This window comes from Homo sapiens, chromosome 21 (genome assembly GCF_000001405.40).
Source record: "Homo sapiens chromosome 21, GRCh38.p14 Primary Assembly".
NCBI classification, from domain to species: Eukaryota; Metazoa; Chordata; class Mammalia; order Primates; family Hominidae; genus Homo; species Homo sapiens.
This window is the reverse complement of record NC_000021.9, coordinates 41,235,221-41,250,506: the sequence shown is the minus strand read 5'-3', so window position 1 is coordinate 41,250,506 and position 15,286 is coordinate 41,235,221. Positions and strand designations below refer to the sequence as shown.

Here is a 15,286-nt window from a genome sequence, read left to right as displayed (position 1 = left end):
GCAGCAATAATTACTTCAATTCTCAACCAGTGTGATAGCATTATCCTCACCACTTTACAGATGAGGCAACCAAAGCACTAGAGGTGAAGTAACTTGCCCAAGGTCACACAGCAGAGGGCAGAGGCCCTTTAGAAGACAGAAATCCTAATTGTGGCCCCCAAGGACTTTCTGCTTATCACTTGCCCTCTGAATTCCATAAGCCCAGCAAGTTGCCTCCTGGTGCAGAGCCTAGGGTGGGCTCTCTGCTCTTTTGGGACATTTTTCTCCTCCTCCAGATCCCAGGTCAGATGCCACTTCATCCAGGAAGCCCTCCCTGGCTTCTTCTTGTAACACTAGAACACCACCATGCCCCACTCCTTCCTGGCCTTTCTCCTTGTGGCAGTTAACAATTTACACTGATTGGTGTGATACACTTCAGTCTCCTGCACTAGAATCCAAGTCTTCTCAGGACAGAGATCTGTGGCCTGGCCCCCGCTGCAGCCCTAATACCTTGCACACAGAAGAGACCTGGGAAATATTTGTGGAAAAAAATAAATGGCATCCAGGGACAAAAGGTGGCCGGCAACACAGGACATCCACCAGTACCTCTCACCAGGGAACCGGAAGGAAGGTAGCATCTGCCCATATTCACTAGTTGCTGAGATGGCAAGTTAACGACACCTGTGTGACCTCACAGGCAGGCCCCGAGCAGTCCACCCTGGGTCTGCCGGCTGCTGAGGAAGGACTGTATCTGATGTGTCTATTGTAGCACATCCAGGGCAGGGTCCCGCGTGGGGCAGAGCAGGAAAAAGCCATGGCTGGGAGGAGGGGGTGTCTGTCCAGGGAGCTTCCCCAAGGAAGAAAGGCGGGAGCTGGGCTGGAGGGCCAAGCAGGCGCTGGGGAGGTGTGTGGTCGGGGGTGCTGCAGAAGATGCTGCGGTGGAATCTGCCGGCTGGACATGGCAGGTGCTGAAGACAGACAAGAATGGGAGATGAGGTGGGGAGGGAACGAGGGGTGCCACTGTGAAGGAATGCCATGACCACATTTCATCTGCAGAGGGCTGAGCTCTGCAGCACATCGATGTGGTTCACGTGTCCAAGTGTACATGTGGGGCTCACTAATCCTGAGTCCCCTGAAGCCAAGTGTACATGTGGGGCTCACTAGTTCTGAGTCCCCTGAGGCCAAGTGTACATGTGGGGCTCACTAGTCCTGAGTCCCCTGAGGCCAAGTGTACATGTGGGGCTCACTAATCCTGAGTCCCCTGAGGCCAAGTGTACATGTGGGGGCTCACTAATCCTGAGTCCCCTGAGGCCAAGTGTACATGTGGGGCTCACTAGTCCTGAGTCCACTGAGGCCAAGTGTACATGTGGGGCTCACTAATCCTGAGTCCCCTGAGGCCAAGTGTACATGCCCACTAGTCCTGAGTCCCCTGAGTTCCAGGGGATGGGCCTGGGCTAGACACACACTCCAGAGGCACTGACAGGTGAGCAGGAGGTATCGATGAGGCTAAGGATGGGATCACGTAGGAGGGTGTGCAGCAAGAACAGGTGGCTCAGGCCAGAAGAAGAGGCTCCACGAGGAGGGGCACAGGGACAGGGAGAGTCCAAGGAGGAGGGAGAAGAGTCTTATAGAAACCAAAAGGATAGTTAGAACAGAAGACAGGAAAATGGGACAGAACGCTGCCAAGACCACAACTGAAAAAACATGCGGGTGCCCCTGTATGCATCTGCCGATGTCCACGCACTGAATATCAGGGGTGGTACGTGCCACGTAACCACGCGCACTGCAGACACCTGCCCTCCTCACCAGGGCGTGCAGCTGGGGAGAAAGCACCCTGTGGTTGGTTCATCCATCCCATGTTCTCCACTCAGACCATTTGTGATTGATTTGTGAAATTTCTAATGCTGGCATTAATGCATCTTTGCTTTGTGAAAAAGCGAAGTCTACTGAAGATGTGCATCACAGGGAGAGCCCCTTCTCAGACATGCTCAGAAGAGGTGGGATGGTCATTTTGCTGGATTCGGGGAAGAGTTTCGGTGGCCAGGTCTGCAGCGGGACACGGGGTACAGAGCTCAGATGATAGTGCCATGACCAGCTCCAACGGCAGGTGGACAAGGAGGTTCCAAGGGGCCAAGTGACTGGCCTGGGGAGCTCACCTCAGATTCGGATGTGGGACTTACTGTCCCCAGAGCCATGGTCCTTAACCAAAAGTCTGGCAGCCTCCCTGGGGGTGAAGCCACGTGTCCTTGGGAGCCAGTTTCGACCCTCAGATCACAGAGTGTTAAAGTTAGAAGCCATTTTCAAGCGGGTATTATTTTGCGTCTGGATTTCCTCCGTAGAGAGGCGCTGGGCCTGAGCCAAGCGGGCACTGCGGCAGGGTCGGAACGAGCCCAGGTCTCGGTGCCTCTGCATGGGCTGCACCTTGTACAACACTCCCCGCTCCAGGTTCATTTCTAAATACAGAACTCCAAACCCTTAATTTCTAGAATCCCATCTGAACAATCCATGCCAGGGGACAGAGCTCCACGTTTTTATTGTCTTTCACTCTCTGAAGCCAGCCCTCCCCTTAACCAGAAGGAAACCCACGCCAAGAGGTTTGGCTTACTGGAACTGGTAGATAAGAAAAACAAACACAGCTTTGGTCCAGAGACGGTAAGCCAGACACACAACGCGCCCTTGTGATGCTTTCCCTGCCCAAGACAAACAACCTTCCCATGTTTCTCCCTCCTGACGCAGGCACCGAATGAAATCAGAGGATAATTTTAGACAACGCAAACAAATGTTGTGATCTCATTCCCTCTACCTCGTGGTTTTCGGCTCAGCGCATGCCACGATGAGCTCGGGAGTGCGAGCGCCCCACGGCCCCGCCGCCCCGCCTCTCACGGCACAGGGGTCTGGCCGGTCCACGACGTGCTGGATTTTCACACTGCGCTTCAAACACGTCCTCGGGATGGTGGACAGACTTTTCCATTCAGGATATGAAGTTGGAAGATACTCCCGTTAATTCTGCTGAGGGCATTTTTACTATTTAAGAAATGAGGGTATCGCTCCTTATTTTAAGTAGGGTCTGATTTTGAGCAAGCGTTCTAAATTTAAGGCACTAAAAATGTTGCCTGCCACTTTCTCTGATTCAGCAGATAGTGGGAAGGATGGAGACTCTGCCGTGGCTTCAGCTGCAGCTGCGCCAGTGGCTGGCCGCCTTGAGACCTGCTGCTTCGAAAAGAGCCCGCGTCCTTTCCTGCCTATTCCCCCTCTGTGTCCGTTTCATCCACGTGCCGCTCTTCCCGCAGCAGTTACAGGTGTTTGAAGTTCAGGACAACCCAAAGCCCTCTCCCGCTTGTCACGTTTCTGCTATGAGCTGTTAACAAGGCACCCACCATACGTGCTCCTATCGGCCACTCTTTGAATTCAGCCATCACAGCAGAGTAGCGGGACAATCAGCCCCACGCCAGGGCCGCAGTACAGGCTTTGTGCAGGAAACACTTTCTGACGATCTCACAAGGAAGGCCCAGATGCTATGAGAACACTCAGGCAGCCAAAAGTCATGTTCCTCTCGCATCTGAACAAATAGCAGCAACGCCGTGGTTGCATGTTTCATGGAAGCTCCAAGCATCTACTAAACACCAAGCATTTGACCCAAAACTCACAACCACCCCTCAGTTGAGAAGACGGAGGCTCTCAGAGGGCACAAAACCCCTCGCCAGGCATCCAGCTAAAAGTGGCAAAAACTACACTAAATTTAATTCTATTTCATCCCCAAAGCTGTCCTGTATCCAATGTTTATTGCCCTGAACTGACTGGAAAGTTGGGGTCACACCAGAAATACCATCAGCCAGGTCCCGAAAAGGCATATTGTCCACAATCATAATTTTAATTGTATTTCAGAGCATGGCCATAAAATAATTATTAGATTGGCTGATTGTTCTTTGTCTTCTGTGAAAAAATGGTATTCTTTTATACAAACAGAAGTTAAGATACCAGTGCAGGGATGAAAGCCAAAAAGGAGTAAAATTTTTGGTTTGTTTTGTTTCAAAGGCTATAAATTTATTCTCGATTTATTGTTTACTCTAACATAGCTATATTAGCAAGTATTGTTTTTTGCAGATTAAAAAAATACTATACCAACTGAACTATTATTTGAAATACTAGAGGGCATTGCACATTCAGATCCAAGTCCTCTGAGGTTCATGAAGGTACTATTTGCTAACATCAAAGAAAGGGACTGTGAAATTAACAAGTAATAGTTGAAACAAAACCCTTCAAAATATAAAGATTTTAAATACATATAAAATATATTTACATATTACACCTATACTATTACATATAAAATATACAAATACACAATATGAAAATTGGAAATACATGGCGCAATAGTTCAGAGATGCTCAGAACACGCAGTGCTGCTCCTCAGCAGGTGACTGTAACTCAGCAACTCGGGGACCCGTGAGTGTCCCGAGGACTCACCAGAGATGCGCGGGCCACAGCTTCCACCACCGCATCAAACACCTTCTGGGGCAGGCGCAGCAGCGTGGTGCCACTGTCCACGATGGCCTTGTCTGCGTTATACTTGAACCGGGAGAGAAAGGGAAAGGTGCGTGAGTGACAGTGGCGCTCCCCGCCCCACGTGGCTCTAGCCGCCATCACCATCTGTCTGTTACACACAAATCCAGGCAGCCACACCAGTCATCATGGACTGTGTAGTTCATTCATGTTCTCAGAACTGGGGAACCAGGGGTCTTCCAACCCAACACGCTCACTTCAGAGACAAGGAAATGGACCCAGGAAAGGGAGGGGACACGGCCCAAATTAGCAAATCAATAGCCCTCCCAAGGCACAGCTCTTTCCTTACTCAGAGGTGCCCAAGTTCCTTCATTGAGGACCTGCACTCCTGCCCCAGGGCAGAGGGAAGACCTATTTGTCTTTTGAGGCTGAAATATATTAAAAGCCATTTGTACAAACTGTACACAAATCAATTCTCTATGACCTCACTAACGAAGAGAAGGATGGACAATTTTTCAACAGACATCCCATATTTGCACTGGGAACAGAACCAGGGCCACAGTGCATCATAGACTGAGACACACACAGGCGCTGCCAGCCCTGTCCTCACCTGCAATGTTCTTCATGTGGCAGAGGGAGGAGAATGGACACCAGTGGCCAACACCAGATGAGCCACCCCAACCACTACGGGCACAGCTGCATAGGCAAGTCTACCCAGGGATGGAATGAGTCCTGGGTGACCTGATCCTCCTGCCTTAAGGCAAATCCATGAGTCACATGACCAATACACCAATCGGGTCAAAAGGAAATAAGGGAAGAGGGGTTCAGAATTTTAAGAAAATGAAATATACCAATGTATTAGTATTCTTCACAAATATTAAATTATTTTCAGTGTAAAAACAAACTTAATTTAAAATCTAACTTAGCGTGTTCATAAAATTTTCAGTTTTTTAATATGTAAGAAAAGTAAATATGTAAAATATGCAAACTGAAATGTTGCGCTAAGATGTCCTGGGATTTGTTGTTTGTTCTTTTGTGGGGTGGGTGCATATGGGGTGGGCAGGAAAGAACCTAGAATCTAAGAATCACACCTCCAAATACAGGCTTTTCCTCTCTAATACACACACACACACATACACACACACTCACACACACACACACACAGAGGTTTTGTATTTTGTTTTACATTCGGACATTCGATTCTACCACTGGGTTCTTAATTGACAAATAAGTGCCTCTTGACAATAAACACAGATTTGCAATAGAAGCGACCATCATTTTTATAATCTTTAGTTTCTCAGAGGTGTCAGGCCTCTGAGCCCAAGCTATGCCATTGCCATCTTATCCCCTGTGACTGTGACCTGCACCTATACGTCCAGATGGCCTGAAGCAAGTGAAGAATCACAAAAGAAGTGAAAATGGCCGGTTCCTGCCTTAACTGATGACATTCCACCACAAAAGAAGTGAAAATGGCCAGTCCCTGCCTTAACTGATGACATTACCTTGTGAAATTCCTTCTGGCTCATCCTGGCTCAAAGGCTCTCCCACTGAGCACCTTGTGACCCCCACCCTGGCCAGCCAGAGAACAACCCCCTTTGATTGTAATTTTCCACTACCTACCCAAATCTTATAAAGTGGACCCACCCCTGTCTCCCTTCACTGACTCTCTTTTCAGACTCAGCCCACCTGCACCCAGGTGAAATAAAAACCTTGTTGCTCAAACAAAGCCTGTTTTGTGGTCTCCTTACATGGACGCGCGTGACAAGAGGTACCTGCATATATGAGAATTGATGTTGGGATGTGATGGGTAATACGAACAGAAGTGCTAACAGGTTAGAATATAATGACATCCCCATGGTTTTTATAAAGCATTCTAAAAGTGCTATAGAAGACTGAGGCTCTCACAAGTCATCATAATCATAATGTCATAATGTGTCACGAACAAGCCAGAACTCAGTGAGAAGGCATGAACATGGTCCTGAGGTTTGGTGTCAGAGCTCTGTATGTGGCCACTTTAGCACTACCAAGCCACACACATCTATACAGCATGACCGTTTTTTAGGGAGAATTGGGTACTCTGGGGGCCAGGCTAGCTGTGAATGGAGGATAAAAGCTGATGATCTTTTCGGTTTCATTTTGCTTAATTTTCGTCCTTCTCTGTCCTACACTGATTAAAAATCTGTTTATTTCAACCTCTTAAACTGAGCTTAGGGACCATCAATCCAAGATGAATGAATGGTGAAAGGTGTAGCTCAGATAGTCCTCTTCACTCACCATTTAATGGTAATTTTGCCCTATGAAGATAAGTGGTTGGGAGGATGCAATATTTGGGGTGGGGAGGGAGGACAATTAATTGATTTCAACTTACTGTACAGCAAGGCCCTGCATCTTTTCATGTAATGAGCCTTTATCTTACGAGGTAATGTACCTTCTATTGGCATCTACGGGTTCCAGCTGGCATATTTAAGGGACCCAGACATACACAGAAAGACACAACAGAGACCATAGCATAAATACCTCTCTGCAGTCCAGATTAAGGCTTTGGCCTCCAATTTCCAATTTCAGAATTTCTATCTGGTAGTACCACTCTTCCTTAATAGGGGTATACCAGATGTCTCCTTTATACAAACTTGGTTCAATTCCACCCAAGACCTGGGACAGGAAATATTTACAGGTATAAGAGAAAAAATACACAGACATATCAACAGGTTACACAGAGAAGCATGCACTTGTAAAGAGAAACTTCACTGCAATCAGGGCTTCTACTTCGTGACAATGTCATGAAACAAATATCAATGCTTAAAAAATAAACAAGGAGCCAGGCGCGGTGGCTCACGCTTGTAATCCCAGCACTTTGGGAGGCTGAGGTGGGCGGATCATGAAGTCAGGAGTTCGAGAACGGCCTGGCTAGCATGGTGAAACCCCATCTCTACTAAAAATACAAAAATTAGCCGGGCAAGGTGGCGCGCACCTGTAGTCCCAGCTTCTCAGGAGGCTGAGGCAGGAGAATCGCTTGAACAGGGAGGCGGAGGCTGCAGTGAGCTGAGATCGCGTCACTGCACTCCAGCCTGGGCGACAGAGCGAGACTCCATCTAAAAAAAATAATAATAAATGAAATAAAATAAAATAAAATAAAACAAGGAATTTTATGGGTCCACGTCTGCAAAGGTCAGATGGTATTAGGCCCTCATCTAATCAAGATGCTTTGGAGGTTTCTCTTATCCAAAGAAAGTACATACAAGTTTAGCTTTACAATATTGAGATTTTTCCTTCAAAGAAATGCAATAAAACAGTTAACCACACTGACTGACAATTATTTAGTTCCTTGGAGGTCAGAGAACAGAAGATCAAGCACTTCCCTGATCAAAGCTTCATTGTGCAAAATCATAAAACATTTCCTCATAAATCCTATGCTGTCCTCTGCCTGGAAATGGTAGCAAATGAAAGTAGCTGAGGACCGGGGTGCAGATCCTGCCTCTCATAGTCAGACAGCAAAGGGACTGGCAGCACCCCCTTCTAGTGCATTCTTCCTGTCCCCTACTACTTTTGACGTCTGGGTGCCGGCCCCTGGAGGGAAGCTCAGGCTCCAGCACCTCCGTAGTGCTGACGGCCTTGATTCTGTTTCAGCAGCAAACACTTGTGCTGTGGTGCGTGTGTGCCTGTGTGTGTTGAGAGAGAGAGAGAGAGAAAGGATCTACAAGGGCCCCTGTTTCCCTGCCAAATTTATGAACTCTCCTTTGGCCCCCTACCCACAGTCAGGTCCACTCACCACGCCCCCCACCGCTCCTCACTTGTCCCTCCCCCACCCACAGAAAGCAGTGCCCTTCCAAGGGCGGTAAAGAAAAGTTTTAATGGAATTCGGAGAAGCGATGAGAATCATCCTTCCAGATGGCAGGATGACATAAAGGATTGCCTAATTTTAGCCATTTCTAAAAAGATCTACTACAAGGAGGATGAAAGTTTTACAGTACCTACGCACACCTACATGCCTAATATTTCTGCTCAGGTGTTTAATAAAACAGAAAAAAACAGCCCATCCATCTGTGATTTTTCGCCCCTTTAAGACTAAAAGATACCCACAAGACTACCTCCGTTGGTCCCAGATCCAGCAACGGGCAAGCCGGCTCCACACATCTGCATGGAGAAAACGTTGGGGATGTTTGCTTGTGTCACCAGGGAGTCGAAGAAGGTCTCCAGAGAACTTGATGGCTGCGGGAGGGCGACAGAGAGGGGCACCCGCTTAGGACTCACAGTGTAGACATGGGTCACCCAGTGTAGACGCCACGCGCCACAGACATTCCTGGTGTTTATACTCAATTTTTTCATGGTTCAACAGTACACCAGCTTGTGATTGGGTCTAGGAATTCAGAAAGCCCCAGCAGAGCTTCCCACTGGTTGGCATTCTTCCTTTGGGCACGGCTCTGTTGTACAAATAAGATCATATTTCTGGAAGCCATTCGACGCAGTCACATCTATCATCATGACTGCCTTGTGAGGGGGTGTGAGAAGCCGTGGAAGTAGGTTACCGTGGCAGGTGGTGGATCCTAATCTTAGGCATTTGAGAGTAAGGAGAGAAGAGTTTCTCTAGGAGCTGCCATGGCCGCAGACATCTTTGTTTGCCTGTCAGCCGCAGCTGTCCACCATGCAAATGAGAGGTGGCTGACCTGGGAGGACAGTATCCCCCGGACCCCAGAGCCTGGGGTGAGGCTTAGCTCTGCCAGATGAACTCTGGCAGGAAAGAAGCAGGAAAGGCACAAATCTATACTCCAGAAGCATAAAAGGCTTCTTATTCCCCCAAGGCCAGATTTCAGAAGCCCTCGTGTGCTCTGTGTCTCCCTCACATCCAGCAAGACATACAGAGGATGCCCTCATTTCTCCAGAGAGACTCAAAGGGAAGCGGGAAGGTCCGTAAACAGCTGTGAGGTGCCGGTGTGCCAGGGGTGCCGGTGGTCATGTAGGAAGTCAGTGATAGACCTGAGTTTAGATTTTGGCTTTGACAACTGGGAGACACTGGAGTTGGTGACCATGAGTTGTTAGTTTTTGATGAAAATGTAATTAACTATAGTAGCACAGACGCTATAGGCATCCCCTGGGTGCCCATGGTCATTCACAGGAATGATTATTTACTATCCGTGAGAACTAAAACTGTGATTCCAGAGGGAGTGAGAGGGGAACTCCACCATGGAATAGATACAGATCTTCCCATTGGTGTAGTCCATTTGTGTTTGACCTCCTACTTGTTTCATCTCAGCTTCTGCAGAATTCCGAGGCAGAATCTAGCACGATTTCCATATGCAATCTCTGTCAGAACACTTGTGGGCGTTTGGGTCAACCAGTGAGACAAAATCACCTCTTGGGATTATAGGGTGGGCCTGGGGGTGCCCCCAGCTGGTGTTCTACCCACCTTCTTGAGAGGCGGTAAAGCAAAGCAAACACGATGGGAGACAGGCTCTGCCACTTGCCAGCCGAGTGACTTGTTCCTTTGCTTCCTTCCCTGTGAAACAGGGATAAGGGCAGCTGCCTGGAGCCGCTCTGGGGCTTAAATGGGCCAATACCTGTAAAGCACTTGGAGCAGTACCTGGCACACGCACACAGCGAAGGAGCTGCAATCATTCTGTCAAGTCCTTCACTAGGGCTGTGCCTCGGGATCCCTCTAGGGATTAAAAGCATCCAGGTGCCCACAACCAACCCTGAGAGAACCTGATTCAGCAGCAGTGGGGCCCAGGCAGCTATAGTGTTAGAAGCCCAGTAGGTGTTCCTGACACAGCCTTGACAGGAAGCCCCTGGAATGGACCAGGGGCCACCACACAACCTGACCACTGCAGAGCGCTCAGCCCACCTGTCTCAGAGACCCCTGTGGGCAGTCTGCCCAGCTCACCCTGCAGGCCCTGTTCCCAGCCACATTCTGCTTCCTATGAGTCCTACTGCTGTCTCCTCAAACCCTGGAAATGGGAAGCCAATTGTCAGTAATCTTGGAATTTCATAAATGAAAAGATAAAATGTCGCACGGAGAGTCAGGAGGTCTGAGCAAACCCCGAAGGGGTCTGTTCTCACAGAATCTTTACATATTATTAATTCCAGGCAATTTAGGTTTACTCTATCATCTTCGGAACAATTTGCATAAAACCAGTCATATACATCTTTCATTTCCAGTCACATACAGATAAAGCATTTTGAAAATGTATTTAGGAACGGAAGTTTTCATGCGTCTGCAATTATCTATGATACAGAGGACAAAAGGTTCATGAGCCAGCCCTGGCTCTGCAGACAGTGAGAAGCTCCATGCCTGATTTCAAAGGGGCAACAGCTCACTGATCCTCAATCCCCACATCTTGAAAATGGGGGGAATAAGGCCAGGCACGGTGGCTCATGCCACAATCCCAACACTTTGAGAGGCTGATGTGAATGGATCACTTGAGCTCAGGAGTTTGAGACCAGCCTGGCCAACATAGTGAAACCTCATCTCTACCAAAACTACAAAACTTAGCCAGGCGTTGTGGCATGTGCCTGTGGTCCCAGCTACTTGGGAGGCTGAGGTGCGAGAATCACTTGAACCCGGGAGCTAGAGGTTGCAGTGAGCTGAGATTACACTGCTGCACTCCAGCCTGGGAAATAGAGTGAGACTCTCTCTCAAAAAAATAAAAAAGTAAAAAGAAAAAGAAAATGGGGAGAATATGACCTTACAAAGTATGCCTCACAGGGGAGTCCTGAGCACTGAGTGACCCACATCTTATCTTGTATCTTCTCAGCCTAGGGCCTAATAGGCTCTCAGTAATTGTGATTCTGTCTCCTTGGAGGGGCCAAGGGCTGTAAACTTCCTCTTGCCCTCCCCACCCCACCCCCATCTGCTCATAAACTTGAGCTGGAACAAATGTTCTTCCACGATGGGAAGATTATCCTCATGGGACAGTGGGGGCCTATTGCTCCAGCAATCACTTCTGTTCCCTTCCACACATAGCTCTGGTTCCAAGCCTAACGCTGAGCAAGGTGAGGCCAGGGCGTGGTACCCAGGTACAGGGCCAGGAGAGCTGGTCTCCTTCTGCAGTTCTTTTTTTTTTTTTTTTTTTTTTTTTAATTATACTTTAAGTTTTAGGGTACATGTGCACATTGTGCAGGTTAGTTACATATGTATACATGTGCCATGCTGGTGCGCTGCGCCCACTAACTCGTCATCTAGCATTAGGTATATCTCCCAAGGCTATCCCTCCCCCCTCCCCCCACCCCACCACAGTCCCCAGAGTGTGATATTCCCCTTCCTGTGTCCATGTGATCTCATTGTTCAATTCCCACCTATGAGTGAGAATATGCGGTGTTTGGTTTGTTGTTCTTGTGATAGTTTACTGAGAATGATGATTTCCAATTTCATCCATGTCCCTACAAAGGACATGAACTCATCATTTTTTATGGCTGCATAGTATTCCATGGTGTATAGGTGCCACATTTTCTTAATCCAGTCTATCATTGTTGGACATTTGGGTTGGTTCCAAGTCTTTGCTATTGTGAATAATGCCGCAATAAACATACAAACCCATGTGGACTCCAGGAGCCCTGCACACACCCCTAGCGTCTACTCCCGCCTGCCTTTGGCAATGCCTCCAGGTGGAAATTCCCCTGCCTGCCTCCCTCCTCCTGCATACAGACATATTTCCTTTGGGTAGGCCCCAAGTACAAATATTTGGTGAACATCCAATTCTGTCTTTCCCCATGTGGGGAGGCTCTGGTGATGGCAAGAGCAGGGTTCCACAATTCCTCTGGGGCTCACCACCACTGGGAAGGGCTGGCTCTCCCCAGGGCATGCCTTCAGGCTGCCCATATTCCCATGCTGGGTGTCTCCTCGGAGGTGTCCCCTGCAGAGCCAGGAAAACAGGCCACGTCCCAGCCTGGCGGAGGGCACCACCCCCTGCCTGCATTCCAGGGCCGTCTGCAGGCTCCATCTTCACGCAAACGTATGAATTTAATAAATGTGTTTTCTTTTAATCCCACCTTAGTAAAAACTCCTAAACACACACCACAATCTACATGATTCAAATTCTGTTAACATTTTAAACTATAAAACGAAAATAAAACAAAAAGTTAATGCTATTGCCTGTCTTACAGGAAGGTTCCAAGAATCATGCTGTTTACCTTCAATTTAAAAAATGCTTGGAAATATAATTGTGTGAATGCTGGTCTGTTTCCACCACGTGGTTCTCACTGTCTCCAAGAACAGCCCAAGACTCATGTGTCAGCCCTTTAATGACTGATTTTCAGAATCTCATCCTGTTATTTGATTTCCTTAAATCCATGGATTAGCCTTACCTTGGCAAGTGTGGCATAAGCTAGGCCAAGTATTCCATTCCATTTAATCCCAGGCAAAAAGAAATTCTCTGATTCAAAAATAGTGGCAATGTTGACAAGAAAAGAAGTATTGAAGCCTTTGGGGATGGTGACGAGGTCTTCCCCAACGAAGCCCGTCCAGCTTCCTTGTGTGTACTTCACTGTGACGTCAAAGCCCTTGGAGCGGTATGTGCTAGACCTGGAGAAAGAAAAGAAAAGCATATTGTATTCATTTTATTTTATTTTATTTTTATTTATTTATTTTTGAGACGGAGTCTTGCTCTGTCACCCAGGCTGGAGTGCAGTGGCGGGATCTTGGCTCACTGCAACCTCCGCCTCCCGGGTTCAAGCGATTCTCCTGCCTCAGCCTCCTGAGTAGCTGGGAATACAGGCACACATCACCACGCCCAGCTAATTTTTGTAATTTTAGTAGAGACGGGGTTTCACCATGTTGGCCAGGATGGTCTCGATCTCTTGACCTTGTGATCTGCCTGCCTCGGCCTCCCAAAGTGCTAGGATTACAGGCGTGAGCCACTGCGCCCGGCTAAGCCCCTTGCATTCTCTTATGTATCCATGTTCCCGAACCATGAAGATAAGGTTGCCGTGTCCAAGGCAGCTATCCTAAACACAGAAAGTCTACTGTAAGCCTGTAAGCCATTCTTTATCATGAACAGCATCAATGTTAACAAAGTGACAGCTTCCCCCAAAAACATAATCGCTAATGTTTTGGTAACAGTGTTTTCCATGTCATGTGGAAGGGACGCACTGGTGTAAACATGTGGCTGGAGTTTAATTTTTCACTATACCCAAGTTAAACCCTATAAGTCAGGTGCTTTGTTTGGCCACCGTAGGACACGACCCTTTGAAGGACACAACCCAATCTGGCACCTGCCTGGCCCTCCGGCTTTGCAGGGCTGCTGTGCTGCTGCTGTGTGACACGGGTAGGTGCCGGCATCCCAGAGGGAGGCTCCACCAGCCTGTGCCCGCAGCAGCTGGAGTTCAGGTTCACACATACAACTCATGTGACAAATAATGACCAAGCCCTACCTGCTGAAGCCCAGGTCCTTCATGTCACAGGTCCTTCTCAAGGTTCTCCCCCAATGCCCCAAAGGTGATTATACTCTCACCAAAATATGGGCAGTGACGCTAATGGCATGCCAGAACATGAATCACTGTGACATGACCGAGAGCCTGACACTCACGTGGCCCTGGAGGTAAGAGCTACTGACGCAGAACGACATTCACAAGATCAGACGAAAGTCCTGCCCCCTCAGTTTATGCTGCAGTGAGGAGAGATAATGAATGCGGGAATGGTGGTTACGGGACGAGAGCCACCCAGGGAACAAAGCAGGCAAGGGGACCTCAAGTGACCCAGTGGTTGGAGAGAACTCTTGGATCCAACCATGTTTGCATGAGACCTGAATGAAGACAGTGAGACCTGGGGCTCTCTAGGGGTAGAGCACTGTGGAGAGAGGACAGCAGGTGTCATGGCCCTGGGGAGTCCCACCCTATAAGGTCATTCCTATGCCCATTTGAGTTTGAAAACTGCTGGAATATAGGAAGGAACCTAAGAAACATCTCTAGGCAAATGTCTATGAACTCAAACCATGCTCCTCCTAAGAAAATAATCACAATTCTAAGCTAAATATCAAATCACCCAGTAGATCATACTAAAGCGATCCTGCTCACCTGCAGGCTTGATTTCACTCTGTTTTAATAATCAGTCTGTGAACATTAACACGTGTTAATAAGTCTTTGTTGTGGGATTACATGAACTAGTGCAGTCTTGCTTAAGGTCAGTAAAGAAGTTTGGAGATGACATGATCATTTGTTCATTCATTCATTCATTCATTCATTTATTATTTCTTTTAAAGAAAAGGTCTTGCTCTGTCATCCAGGCTGGAGTGCCATAGCGCAATCATGGCTCACAGTAGCTTGAACTCCTGGGCTCAGGAGATCCTCCCACCTCTGCCTACTGAGTAACTGGGACTACAGGTGCACACCATCAAGCCCAACTAATATTTTTCTTTCTTTTTTTGCCGAGACAGGGTCTCATTATATTGCCCGAGCTAGTCTCAAACTCCTGGGCTCAAGTAATCCTCCTACCTTAGCCTCCCAAAATGCTGGGATTACAGGCATGAGCCACCCTATCTGGCCTTTTATTCATTAACTCATTCTTGGTATATCTCATAAGCATCAAAAATGTTAACTATCTTTAATTCAGTAACTGCACTTCTGAGAATCTGACCCTAAGGAGACACCAGGAAGCAGACAGAGGTTCATGTGCCAGGATGGTCGTGATGTTTTATGTATAACAGCAAACAGCTGGAAACCATCCAAATGCTCAGTAACAAGGAAACAGTTCAGTAAATTACAGCATATCCATATGATGCGCTATTATGTGCCAAGGGAAAAATGTTTCTTTTTCTAAGAAATTTTAAATGATGCAGAGAAAAAGTTAAAAGAAAAATACGTCAATGAGACAGACTCT

At 47.8% G+C, this 15,286-nt stretch overlaps 1 protein-coding gene across 4 annotated transcripts in view, besides 2 other annotated features; it reads right to left on the bottom strand.

Annotated features, from left to right (window-relative positions):
* BACE2 (beta-secretase 2) overlaps positions 1 to 15,286 on the bottom strand; it is a 114,371-nt gene that overhangs the window by 32,024 nt on the left and 67,061 nt on the right. For all 4 annotated transcript variants that reach the window (NM_012105.5, NM_138992.3, NM_138991.3 and 1 more), the window contains 4 exons: positions 12,778 to 12,994; positions 8,560 to 8,688; positions 6,997 to 7,131; positions 4,444 to 4,545 (listed from right to left, as the gene is read on the bottom strand). In NM_012105.5, coding sequence (NP_036237.2) covers positions 4,444 to 4,545; positions 6,997 to 7,131; positions 8,560 to 8,688; positions 12,778 to 12,994 — 583 coding nt within the window. The remainder of the gene's footprint in view (positions 1 to 4,443; positions 4,546 to 6,996; positions 7,132 to 8,559; positions 8,689 to 12,777; positions 12,995 to 15,286) is intronic.
* Positions 5,677 to 6,182: an enhancer, noted in NCBI's record as "NANOG hESC enhancer chr21:42616252-42616757 (GRCh37/hg19 assembly coordinates)". NCBI's record gives its function as "activates a minimal SCP1, AML or CMV promoter by ChIP-STARR-seq in primed H9 embryonic stem cells {active_cell/tissue: H9 hESC(primed)}" and the evidence as "EXISTENCE:reporter gene assay evidence [ECO:0000049][PMID:30033119]".
* Positions 10,217 to 10,361: a silencer, noted in NCBI's record as "fragment chr21:42612073-42612217 (GRCh37/hg19 assembly coordinates)". NCBI's record gives its function as "represses an EF-1alpha promoter that drives an FKBP-Casp9 reporter gene in an ReSE screen in HepG2 liver carcinoma cells {active_cell/tissue: HepG2}" and the evidence as "EXISTENCE:reporter gene assay evidence [ECO:0000049][PMID:32094911]".